The sequence below is a fragment of the Homo sapiens genome, chromosome 4, assembly GCF_000001405.40.
Source record: "Homo sapiens chromosome 4, GRCh38.p14 Primary Assembly".
Taxonomy (NCBI): Eukaryota; Metazoa; Chordata; class Mammalia; order Primates; family Hominidae; genus Homo; species Homo sapiens.
The window spans coordinates 61,386,594-61,400,462 of NC_000004.12; the positions used below are offsets into that span (position 1 = coordinate 61,386,594).

A 13,869-nucleotide genomic window follows, 5' to 3' on the forward strand; every position below is an offset into this window, starting at 1 on the left:
AGATTTCTTGCAGGGAAGGAATAAAGTCATTAGAGAAAGTGTAGCTCTTTCTGCTGTGGTAAAAATGGCTGAAATCACATGAGAAAAATATGGCAACAAATAAAAATGTATTACTTTATCAGCAAATATTTTTAGAAGATGACATAGAAAACACTGCCTTAATCAGAAAAAATAAGTATTAGAATGGATTATATAATATGAGAAATTCAGTCTTCATTTGGACAAAATGTATGTATTTCCAATATGTGTCAATTTATATTTGCTAGATTGTATTTTTTAAAGGCTGGTTTATTGATATCTATTTTATATATAATGAATTCAGTCCGTGCAACATATGAATGTGTTTTGACAAGCACATAAAGTTGTGAAAATATCACCAAAATCAAGATCTAGAACGTATATAGGGGGACCTGCCCCAATAATCACGTAGGTTCTTTTCTATTTTTCCTAAGCGTTGGCCGCCTTGAGAAATAAAGGGACAGAGTACAAAAGAGAGAAATTCTAAAGCTGGGCATCTGGGGGAGACATCACACGTTGGTAGGACCCGTGATACCCTACAAGCCACAAAAACCAGCAAGTTTTTATTAGGGATTTTCAAAAGGGAAGGGAGTGTGCGAAGAGGTGTGGGTGACAGACATCAAGTACTTAACAGGGTAATAGAATATCACAAGGCAAGTGGAGGCAGGGCAAGATCACAGGACCACAGGACCGAGGTGAAGTTAAAATTGCTAATGAAGTTTTGGGCACCATTGTCATTGATAACATCTTATCAGGAGACGAGGTTTTGAGATCAACCGGTCTGACTAAAATTTATTAAGTGGGAATTTCCTCTTCATAATAAACCTGGGATCACTATGGGAGACTGGAGTTTATTTCATCTCTGCAGCCTCGACCATAAGAGACGACCACGCCCCAGGGGGACCAGTTTAGAGACCCACCCCCAGGTGCACATTCTCTTTCTCAGGGATGTTCCATGCTGAGAAAAAGAATTCAGCGATATTTCTCCCATTTGCTTTTGAAAGAGAAATACAGCTCTGTTCCGCCTGGCTCACCGGTGGTCAGAGTTTAAGTTATCTCTCTTATTCCCTGAGCAATTGCTGTTATCCTGTTCTTTTTTCAAAGTGCCCAGATTTCATATTGTTTAAACACACATGCTGTACAATTTGTGCAGTTAATGCAATTATTACAGGGTTCTGAGGCAATATACATCCTCCTCAGCTGACAGGATTAAGAGATTAAAGTAAAGACAGGCATAGGAAATCACAAGGGTATTGATTGGGGAAGTGGTAAGTGTCCATGAAATCTTCACAACTTATGTTTAGAGATTGCAGTAAAGACAGGCATAAGAAATTATGAAAGTATTAATTTGGGGAACTAACAAATGTCCATAAAATCTTCACAATCCATGTTCTTCTGCCATGGTTTCAGCGGGTCCCTCCATTTGGGGTCCCTGACTTCCCACAACAAACGTATCCATCATCATCCACCCCTCTCCCACTATCAGCTCTGGGGGCCTCTGGACTCCATTTTAATAATAAAATACACAAAACAACTGAGATAAAGAGCTCAAATTTTGAAGACAGAGTCAATAGAGGACCTTGGGCATGGTATCTATCCTCTCTTTGCTTCACTTTCCTCACCTGCATAAGTGGGTTAACAATATGATCTACCATACAGCATTTAGAATAGAACAATGCCTATCTTAAGGACTACGTAAGTGTTTGTAAAATACACTACAGTTTTTTGAGCCTCAAAAGGAAAGATGTGCTGGAGAAGGTCTATTTTCCACAGGAAATGACCTCTTTCAGTGTATTTAAACACACAGGGTGAAACCAAAGTTTTCAAAATAAGAAATCCTATGCAGTAACATCATTCTCACAGAAGTTTGGGTTAATGGCTCCATTCTTACAGTTCTTTGGGCACAAATTATTGGAGTAGTTCTTTAATCCTCTATCTCACACATCCATCAGCATATTCTGTCTGACCACTTCTAACACCTCTTAGGCTACTACCTTTGTCCAAATCACAGTCCTCTTCTGTGTGGATAATTACATCACCCTCCTGTTTTCCTTGCTCCACTGTTGTCACAGACAGCAAATGGAGACCTGTTCCATCTTCAACCTTCTCTGCTCTCCAGCTGCCCTGGCTTCATTGCTGCGTGTGGAACACACTAGGCCACTCTACCTAAGAGTGTGGGCCTTTCTACCTATCAGTCTTCCCAGTTATTCATGTGGCTTGTTTCCTAGACTTCAGGTATTCTCTTCTCATGGCAGCCTTCCCTGCACATTCCCATTTAAAATGGAAACTGTTTGGGAGTAGCCTCTACCCCCATCTCCTGCCTTATTTTTTCTCCAGAGCATACATTACCACATTACACAAAATTTGTTTATTGCCTCCTTCCATTATTTTATGTATTCTAAATATTTCCTCTTTATAGCATCCTTTTAATTTCTGTTTTTATGTGTCTTTTATATTGCACCATTGGCTTTGCTCATGGATTTGTATATTAGAAAGATAACTCTGGAAGCAGCATGCATGATCATGTGACTGGAGGCAGGTGGATTACCCAGGAAATATTTGCAATAACTCAGGTGAGGTATGAGAAAGATCCAGTTTAACACAACAACAATGGGGATTGAGTGGGAGTAACACATTTAAGATTATTTAGAAGGCAGTTGATAGGTCTTAGTGACTGATTGCATTTGAGTAGTGAGAGAAAAGTTGAAATCAGGAATGAGTCGCAGGTTTGAAAGTGGCAACCCTGTTTGTGATGGGGCCATTTATTGAGCAGTGTAGGGAGCAGAATTCTTTGCTTATTTGCTTTTATACACTTTTTATACAGTAACGATGTAATGTCTTCACAGAAATAGTAATGTCTGTTTTTTTACAGAAATAATATCCAGAGCCAGATGTTAATTTTCATCTCTAGGTAGGAGTGATTTCTATAAATTTACACTTTAAACTGAAGGTCATTAATTGTGTCGCTTTTTTACCCCTTTTTTTTATAGAAAATTTAAAAAGAAGTTTTGGTTTGCTATGAGATTATGTTTTCTAATTAATTTCAAAACCACAGTCAGAATGTGTGGGATGTAAAAACTGGCTATGGGCAGGGTAAAAGCACATTAATTATTCAGACAGTCATTCCTGCTTATTCCTCTCTTGGAGATATCGTGGCTGTCAGAATCTGTCAGCTGTATATAGTTAGTGCCCTTCAGAATTTACATGCATAAATGGTGACCTTTAGAAATCTACATAAAGATAAGTCTGGCATTCGAATGATAGCTGCCAGTCAGTTGAGCAAAGCAAAAGTTGTCAGCTACTACTTAATCCACAGAGCAGGCTGTGAAGCCATGAACAGCAAATGGAGTGTATACAAAACAACAATAATACTTTTTTTCCCTCCAAAACAAAAATAAAATTCATTTTTAACAGAATTTTACAAAGGTTATAACCAATTATTTGGATCAGTATTTTTGGTGTGTATAGCTTTTCTCACTAAATCTGTTAAAACTTATGTTAAATTTTAAAATAATGACTAATTTTAAAATTTAGTTATTTTAAAATAAATGTTTATTACTAGATTTTTATGTTACAAAGTGAGTGCATACTCATTTTTCTGTTAACTCTCTATTTTTTCTTATTTTTATGGCTAAACCCTGAGCTAGCAGTAGCCCAGTCAAAATCTTGTGTTCTGATCCTTGTCTTGACCAGACCTTAGTTATCTTAAAGTGTCCACAGCTGTGTCTAATCCACGGCATTGAAAAAATATTATGATGGTCCAAAAAAGGCTGCTTATTTCTGCCTGAATCAAGGATGCTACGTTGAATAGAATGAGGTCTGTTCTGAGCTATAAATATTTATAGATCGGTGTTTTGTGTCATAGCTAAACAGTGCATTATTAGCTATTGACATTTTGTTTTCTTGCAGGAGGGGGATTTGTTCATTGTTCTCTTTCAGTTGGCAATATACATTTAAATTTTTTGAGAACATACATTTAAAATTAGTTATTGTAAATATTTGATGAATTAACAAATAGATACACCCATGCAACCACAACTGTTGCCTTTCCATCTGTATTTATGCTTGTAGTCTTTTTGTTTGTATGCTTTGTTTTCTGTAGAAAATTCTATGAAATGGAAAACCTGTAGAGAATTGTGTAATTTTTACCACAATTAGGATACAAAACAGTTTTATCACCTAAAAATTCCCTAGTGCTGCTTCTGTGTAGTCAAACTCTGCCTCTGCCCCTAACTCCCCGGCAGCCACTGGTCTGTTCTCCATTCCTATGTATCGTACAATGTGTAGCCTTTTGTGATTGACTTCTTTTTCTCAGCATAATGCCTTTGAGGTTCATCCCTGTTGTTGAGTGCCCCAATAATTCATTCCTTTTTAAATTGCTGATTAATATTTTATTGTATAGATGTATCTCAGTTCATTTATCTACCTATTGAAAAACACTTGAGTTATTTCTAATTTGTAATGATAATAAAGATTGTGTTAGTTCATTGGTACGCCTATAAAATACTGCTAGTACAAGGCAATTTATAAACAGAAAAGGGTTTATTGTGGCTCATAGTTCTCCAGGCTGCACAGGAAGCATGGCCCCGGCATCTGTTCCTGCTGGGGGCCTCAGGGAATTTACTGTCATGGCAGAAGGCAAAGAGGGCCCAGTGTAGCTCATGGCCAGAGAGAAAGCAAGAGACACAGGTGGGGGTGGTGCCACACTCTTTTAAAAAAACAGATCTCACGTGAACTCAGAGTGAGAACTCACTCCTTACCTCAAGAAGGGTACCAAGCCATTCATGAGGGATTCACCTCCATGACCCAATCACCTCATACCAGGCTACACCTCTGGCATTAGGGATTACATTTCAACATGATGTTTGGAGGGGACAAACATCCAAACCACATCAAAGTTGTTATGAACATTCATTTGCAATGTGTGTGAGTCTGCATGTATGTGCGTAAGTTTTCATCACTCTAGGTTAAATACCCAAGTGTGGGATTGCTGGTCATATAGTAAGTCTATCTATTGATTTTTTTTTTATTTCTAAGTTTCATTTCTATTACCTGTTTTGTTCCAGTTTCTATTTATTTCTATTTATGGTGCCATTTTTATTAAATTGATGGTATGCAGAAAGTTTTATCTTCTTCAAACACTGGATTTTGTTAATTTTTTTAACACTAGGATGACTATGGCAAGACCTGCTTTTATTGCTGTTTAGATTTAGGTAAGAAAATTATCCAAGTGAAAAATGCTACTTTTTTTTTTTTTTTTTTTTTTGAGATGGAGTCTGGCTCTGTCACCCAGGCTGGAGTGCAGTGGCGCGAGCTCGCCTCACTGCAAGCTCCGCCTCCCAGGTTCATGCCATTCTCCTGCCTCAGCCTCCCGAGTAGCTGGGACTGCAGGCGCCTGCCACCACGACCGGCTAATTTTTTTTTTTTTTTTGTATTTTTAGTAGAGATGGGGTTTTGCCGTGTTAGCCAGGATGGTCTCGGTTTCCTGACCTCATGATCCACCCGCCTGGGCCTCCCAAAGTGCTGGGATTACAGGCGTGAGCCCCCCTGCCCGGCCAAAATGCTACTTTTATGATATTTTCCTTCCATGATATTTTTGTCTTTTCTTTATGAGTTTTGTCTTGTTTCCTATCGTAGATGATGCCAAAACAATTGACCATAGAAATAAGGTTTAACTGTTTTCGGTACTGGATGGATATTCAGCTGTTTTATTCTAATTAAAGCTCACGTCAAGTGCCCTTCAGAATTTACACGCATAAATGGTTTTCTTTTTACATAGAAAAGAGTCTCAGGCGCCGGGTGCGGTGGCTCACGCCTGTAATCCCAGCACTTTGGGAGGCAGAGGGAAGGCAGATCACGAGGTCAGGAGATCGAGACCATCCTGGCCAACATGGTGAAACCCCATCTCTACTAAGAATACAAAAACTAGCTGGGCATGGTGGCTTGTGCCTGTAGTCCCAGCTACTTCGTAGGCTGAGGCAGGAGAATCGCTTGAACCCGGTAAGCAGAGGTTGCAGTGAGCCCAGATTGCGCCACTGCGCTCCAGCCTGGTGACAGAGCGAGACTCCATCTCAAAAAAAAAAAAAAAAAAAAAAGAAAAAGGAAAATAAAGAAAGAGAGAAAAGAGTCTCATGAGAAAATATTTACAAATATATTCTAACAAATTTGGTCATCTAGTATACAAAACCTCTCAGATTAAATACACCAAATTATGAAACGATGGAAATACTAACAACAAAACATGAATCTGGCATTGGATATTGGGAATATGAACCAAATAAACACTAAAAATCATCATAAAATTATTAAATATAGCTGGCTACATCTCTTATATGTCACAGCAAAGTTTCTCTATCTATCTAAGAGCCGCTGAGTTATACACAATTTTCGAATGTGGTTCCTATTAGGAAGAACCCTGGATAAGGTTCTCTTCATTCTAACCCTGGTTTTGCCATTAACTTGCTCTGAGACCCAGGACACACCACACAGTCTCCCTGGATTGTAGTATTCTCATTTGTCCAATTAGCAAGAACAGCACTAGATTATCCATAAATGACCTTCTTGATCTAAAAAAATATGATGTTGCAATTCTGTGATGGTCTTGGGTCATTGAGAAGAAAAAGTTAGTTGGCCTCTGTGTTTAGTATACTCTGTCAGAAGTCAATGATATGCACATTTTTAAAGACCTTAAAAAAATACTTAAAGAAAAACAGTTTTGGTGCCTGACAGAAATCCACTAAGTAATCCAGAAGCTTAAATATTATAGAATCATTAATTTTTGTAATGTTTTTCAAAATTTTAATATTAAAAAACTTTTAGATGTAATTTAGATTAAGCAAATACAAGAGTAAATGTAAACTCATTTCCTCATTTTTTTAGTATAATGAGATTTTATTGAGAATTACATTTTTCAATTTTTTTCAGAATTTAAAATGTCAATAATAATTTAGAGCCTTTACTTAATTATGAAACACAGGCTTTATTATAAATTATCATTTTTTTCAGGGTGAATATACATTTTTAAAAGTTTCAAGCTTATATACTTACAAGAAAAGGAGACATTAAAAATATTACTTTTACTTCTATTGGTGTAATGCAGAACATTAAGTACCATCTTTCAAATGCTAATTTGAAATGCTAATGAATATCATCATAACTCTTGAAGAGGAATGAAGAATAAAATATGTCAATTTTAATTTACTTTAAAATAAATCATTTATTTAGTACATATTGTATTAGTGTCTGGTGTGCATAAGACCTCGGCTGTGTTGTGGAGTAATAATGTCATACCATCTGGAGAAAATTGGAAGTCTAGTTGGGGCTACAGAAACATGTACTGCTAGCTGTATGATAATATGACAAGTACTCTAATAGGAACATGAGGAATAGAGAGTAATTAATTCTTAACAAAATTCTTTGTGAAAACTTTGCAGAATTTATAGCATATAAAAAGGGTCTTATTAGTGGAGAACAGAGAATGGTCATTCTAAGAGTACGGTCATGGTAAGACCATATTATTTATTATAGAATAATGAATAATCTCTTTTGGAGAGAATATAATTTTCCTGAGTGATAGAGTATTGGATAAAGAAGCAAACAAGAGGAAATTTAAGGACATATTAGGAAAAATCTTTTTATATTATTATGTGTTTAGTAGGGACCTAAGTATACATATCATATTGTTCTCTTAAAGAATAAGATCTCTAAAGAGTGTAAGACATACATTAAAGATGGGATAAAATGATCAGATAAAAATCTGAGATGGATGGCTGGATCGGATAGCTACAGTATTCTTTGAACTGTTCCCAAAATGCAGTGCCCTGAGCACTGATGAAAAGTTCAAATGACAAACTCCCCTTACTGAACTTTTACACAAACCATTGAAATATATACATTTAGAATTTATTTGGCCCAGGAATACCACACTTTTTCTTCTTTAAAACATTACAAATTTACACTTAAATATAAAAAAAAATTACGTATCTTCCCTATCCATCCAATATACAATACATGTAGTTGTTTTCCCTTGATTTCTAAAATGTGTTTGTGGAAGAGAATTTAAGTGCTTTAAAAAAAGAAATAAAGAAATTGGATTGCTTGGTTTGGCTTACTGCTGCCTTGAATGTTCTGAGAACAATAATGCAATTAGCTAAAATGTTTATTCACAAAATTTAATTCCTGGGGAGTATATTCTCAAATTGCCTCTTACAAGTGTAATGGAAGCAAGCAGTTGTTTGTTGGCTTTGCTGCCAAAATTCTGAATGGCTAGATTTTTATAAAACTTGGGTATAATGTATGTATAATCTTGTAAACTCTCCATTTTAAAACGAAGAAACTAAATTTATGAAGAAACTAAATAATGAAGAAACTAAATTTTACACATACTTTTGTTAATTGTGTTCTCAGCCACAAATGAAGAAATCTTCAGTGTTATTAATTCCACAAATAAAAATTTTAATAGATTACGTTTCATTTCAATTTAATTTCATACCTGATTAAATATGCTGAATTAATAGTATTCTTGGATTGTCAGTTCCGGGACAATCTAGTGATAAGGTGGTTGAAAATATAAGTGTGGTATTTATTCTAGACAAAGTATAAATATCCAAGAAAAATGAATGCTTCTTCTCATTACACCAGTATCAGTCAGTATTGCAGCAGTAATTCCCTATGATAACACCTTTGAAAAGAATTGCTAATAGGACAAGGACAGAGGAAATGTATTATAAAAACCTTTGCTGTATATATGCTTATATGGCTTGTGAAAGGCACATTGTGCTAATGCTAATTGATAAACAAAGAATAATGAATTAATGGAGTCTTCACCAAACTAACCAGGGTGTTTTGTTGTTATGAGACCATAATTTATTCACAAAACTTATACAGATAATTTCTATTAACTTTGCTTTACTGTATTATGTTATTTCAGGTGCTTTCTCAGCTGGCTTATTTTCTAGCTGCAGTTAAAACATACTCACTATTATATGTTAATTTTACATGACAAATATAATAAAAACATGAAGGTTTTAATAGGTAATGACCTATTCTGAATTTGTTCAGTAAAATATAACAAATTAAAGCTTTCATTGAAAAAAATAGCCAATTATAACCCATTTGAAAGAGACCAGAAAATGATAATATATCAGAAAATGATAAGATATCTGAAAATGTTTTAACTGGCATGGACTTCAATAAAATACAAGGGAACAAATTTAATATAAAACAATTTGGAAAATTTTGATATGGAGGGGAATAGCTGAACTGTTAATGTAGAAGGAGGAACGCACAGATTTGTTATCCCACCTGTTGAGAGCGCATTGTGCTAATGCTAATTGACAAACAAGGAATAATGAATGAATGGAGTCTCCACCAAACTAACCAGGTTGTTTTGTTGTTATGAGACCATAAGTTGGGAAAACCACATCTGAATTGAGATCATATTCAAATTGCGTTTACTATAGCCTGTTTTAGCTAAGGAGGGAAAGGATTTATTTGTAAAGTGCTACCTACAGTGTGCTTTTCACCCAAATGCTTGACAGATTTCCCGTACATACATGTCATCTAGTACAACATCCTTTTAGCTTTAGATGTAGCAGAAAGTGAACTTTTAACAAAGTTTAAAATTAATGAAAAACCATTAGATTTTTCTCATTATTTATATTTATGTTTAATATATTTAGAATGCAAACTAAGTTATAATGTTGGCCCATTTCTGTCATTACTGATGATAAAGTTTTTAATTTTAAAAAAGAAATTATTTACCTTTGTTGATAATGCCATAAATCAGACCAAATTGAGTATTTAAAAAAAAAACTTTTATAGGAATATACATATCAAATTACATAATCACATTTGTGATGTTAATCAGTAAGGAGAGATTCTTACTTGGTTTACATTGGCTGAATGATTGCCAACTTGATTCAGTCGAACTGAGGTGTTTGGCATTATTTCATTTTAAGGACTTTGACCTCTAACAACATATTTTACAGTGTAGGTCAAAATGATGAGTAACCAACACAATTTTGACTTTCCCAATCACTACCTTTTCTGTTGCATCAAAGCTTATATCATCCAGGAGGGAAATCTTTGTCATTATTATTAATGCATAAAGTAGTAACTATAAATTTACTATAAATCTACTTTTTTTTCCAGCAAATGGATTCATTTATAATTCAATGCTAATAACATGTATTTTCATAGTACTTTGGCCTTTTTGAAACTTCTCACATGTAAATGCATATTCAAGTTAACTTCACTGAGTGTCTATTATGTTCCAGGCAATATGAAACATGCTTTCATGTAATTTACTAAATAATTTGTTAGCCTAGTAAGGAATATATTATTATTATTATTATTATTATTCCTGCTGAATGAGACTTTGGTTCAGGAAAATAAAGGTTTATATTTTATTAGTTTTCTAATATGATAAGTATATATTTATACTATAAAATAATACAAAACAATAACAATAGTGCAGTTTCTAGGACTTCAATATTTTAGCAAATATCATCAAATTTTATGACATTATTTATAATTGTTACCAAATTATATAAAGTTATGTCTTTTAAACCACAAACTTTTTTTCTTGCAGATTAACATTGCCTCTTTTTCCTGTTGTTAAAACCTTTTCACTTTTTCTCCTCACAAACTTTTTAAATTGCAAATGAATTTCACAATCATTCTAGGAAGTAATCCATTTACAGAAAAAGAAATTAAGGAACAAGACAGATGTGACTGAAGCTGAGTCACGCTCCATTTGTGTTCTATCCAGCCTTAAACACAAATAGTCAAAAAGAAATGAGGCAAGTGTGGGGATGTGGGGTGGGAAATATGAAAGCACATGACCTTCTGTGGTCCTGCTTTTTCAGATTCCTTCAGGACCCACTTTATTGCCTAGAGAGTTATGAGTTGAAAGCATCTCTTTTAGCTCTCAATTCCTGGTTTGCTCTGTTGTTTATTTCCTCACTTACTTTTCCACCACATAGCCAGAATACCAGTATTCCTAAGATTCTGGGTGAGAACAATTCTGTGCTTCAGTTTTCTAATTGCTTCATATGAATACCTCTACCAGGAAGATTTGAGAACACATAGTATTAGCTAATTTCCTATAAAAAAAATTGTCAGTATTAACTGGCCTTTTCAGGCTGCAAAGGGTATGTTGAACCTCTTATCACTAAGAATCATTTCTCCAAAGACAGATTTTAAACTTTAAATGAAAATCTCTATTTCTCTGTCTTTTACTCCCAAGATCACTGGAATGTATAGCTGTTGAAAATATAATGGGTAAATAATAAAGTGGTCATTGGAGAGCTATCCATGCTGTAATTTGAACAGGCAAGTAAATCTGGACAGATGCTCTGTTGAAATTTCTGGAGGGAGCCATTCTTCATATTATTGTAGATGTCTTTATCACACTCACTAGGCTAGACTCTGAGTGATGAAATAATAAAGCGATATTGGTTTTGATGTGTTTTACTTTACCTTGTGAACAAAATCATTGAACAATGTCTCACTGAAACTGCAATCCTGAAAGTGTTAATGTTCTTTGTGATATGTTCAAGAATTAAGAATAAGAAATAGTTGAAAGAAATATGATTAAAGAGTATTTTACTAGAAAGCAGATTTTGAAACTTTAAAAAGAAAAAAATGATGATTTTTACTTTGAATTTGGGTGAATTGAAAAAAAAATCAATTTTAGTAGACCCTTCATTAAATATCATGGAGTGAGAATGATGAGCCTTCGTAAATGTATTGACAATAAATGACACCACATTCCAACCTGAAGATTGATTATTCTTTTTTCACTGAGATCAGTTATCTTTTTTTTTTTCTTATGTCTATTAATATTTAAGACCTGGCAAGAATTTTGTATTTAAAATCTTCAGCCAGACCTGATTAGCAAGTTTAATTCATGTTGGTCCTATCTAGCAAACTTAACCTGATGTATTACTTGGTAAAGTAATTACTTCTTTTTTGCCTTTCCTGTCTTCCCTAGGTTTTGCTGACCATTCCATCCTTTTGGCTTCTTCTGTTTTTTTATCCTCCCACTTCACTTATGGAACCTCTGGTTTACAATGTCTTTCACTCTCTCTCTTCTCTCTCTCTCTCTGTCTCTCAATATATTTTACTCCCTTGCCATAGTCTTGAAATAAGAACTGATATATTCAAAGGATCTTTCAAAATCTAATATCTAATCTGATGTAAGAACATGTAAATAAAGGAATCTTAATTTTTATCTTCCTCTTTCCTCTCCTCTTGTCTTTTATGTGTACTTTTTCTCCTTCCAAAACTGTGTTTCCTTAACTTCCCACAACCCCCACCAAAACACACACATATATGTGCTTTTTCTTCCATCATTCTGTCTAACTGCAAAGAAAAGAATAACTTACTCTTGGGTTACTTGAATTTATTCATATATTCTAATTAGAAATTAAAGTCCTGAATGGACCATTTATAGGACAGGACAATCCTTTACTTGTAAGTAGAAAGCATATGGAAATGGAAATTGTTGATGGAATCAGACGTTACTAAAATTATTATTTATTCTGCTGTCAAAATGATGTTTGAAGTAAAAATTTTTTATGTCAGTTAATACTCAGATCTTTAGTTAAGGATGTATAATATTTAAATGAAATATGTAAAATGCTCAGGAATGGAGATGATTTTAAAATATCTTTTACAGTAGGAATTAATATTAATTAGTAAAGTGCACTGCTTATTAATTTAGCCATAACTTTGAAAGTTTACGTTAAGATACATCTTAAAAACAAAATATTTTCAGTGTGAAATAAAATTTGAAATGACAATTTATATCAGACAATGATATATAACAAAATTATTAAAACAATCCCAATTTCATCTTTTTAGGTTCATTTCATTAATTTTCAAGTTCTGTTTTACAAATGCCATGTGTGCATATTCAAGGTAATTAGGTTTGTAAATAAAAGTAGAAGTTGTCAACAAATAGTAAGAGAAATGTCACTCTTCCATAGTGAATAATTTAAAAATGTTAAATCAACATCTAAAACTGCTAGTACTGGTTCTACTGCAAAGATACCCCTTAAGCTTCATGGACCTCAATTTCTACTCTAAAAATTGAGAGTGTTGGACTTAATGACTAAATTATCCACTGAACTCTAAATGTTTAATATTTAAAATCTTCCCTCTTGCTCTATAAACTTAACCTGCTTTCTTTGGGATTTTAGGAATGAGAAGGAATGTCATTTGTATTTGCTCTTATAGATGTTAAGGTAGACAAGAAACTCAGTTGAAATGACAGAGTATAATTTCTACGTTTAAAATGTTGTGTTGACTAATGCAATTAATTTGTACTCAGTTATAAGTAGAGGCGATGAGTACCAAGGCATATGATCAGTGCAAGTATACCCCTGAGACAATATAATTTTCAGGGAATCAAAATAATCAGCAAGAGAGCATATATTTCCTTAATGGAGTACTGAGAGTTTATTAGCTTCTACTGGAGTGCTGATTAAGAAAAAGGAGAAAAGAGGTTCAGTTGAGTTTTTAAACTGCAGTTAAATAAAAAGATTTTGCCTATGTTATTTGCATGGTTAATGTATCTAGAAGGGTTAATTTTATATTGAAGAAACAAGTGTAGTAATTATAGAAATGAATATAAATATTACCAGTGGATTTGAGGAATTAAAATGTCACAGTTTCATTTATTACTTTACTATATCAGACCTGTGTTAAAAAGTTTTGCTCCAGTTGAACAAACGAGTAAAATAAATATAGGAAAAAATACCCCAAAAACTTTTACGGTATATAAAAAGAAGAAAAGCGATGTACTTTTTATTTTCTAGAGGTGATGAAAAGTGAACTAGAAATAAT

The 13,869-nt window shown here is 33.9% G+C and overlaps 1 protein-coding gene across 59 annotated transcripts in view, besides 1 other annotated feature; it reads left to right on the top strand.

The window, feature by feature from the left end:
* Positions 1 to 13,869, top strand: part of ADGRL3 (adhesion G protein-coupled receptor L3) — an 878,010-nt gene that overhangs the window by 186,268 nt on the left and 677,873 nt on the right. The gene's annotated exons all lie outside the window — the stretch shown is intronic.
* Positions 389 to 1,327: an enhancer, noted in NCBI's record as "OCT4-NANOG hESC enhancer chr4:62252700-62253638 (GRCh37/hg19 assembly coordinates)". NCBI's record gives its function as "activates a minimal SCP1, AML or CMV promoter by ChIP-STARR-seq in primed H9 embryonic stem cells {active_cell/tissue: H9 hESC(primed)}" and the evidence as "EXISTENCE:reporter gene assay evidence [ECO:0000049][PMID:30033119]".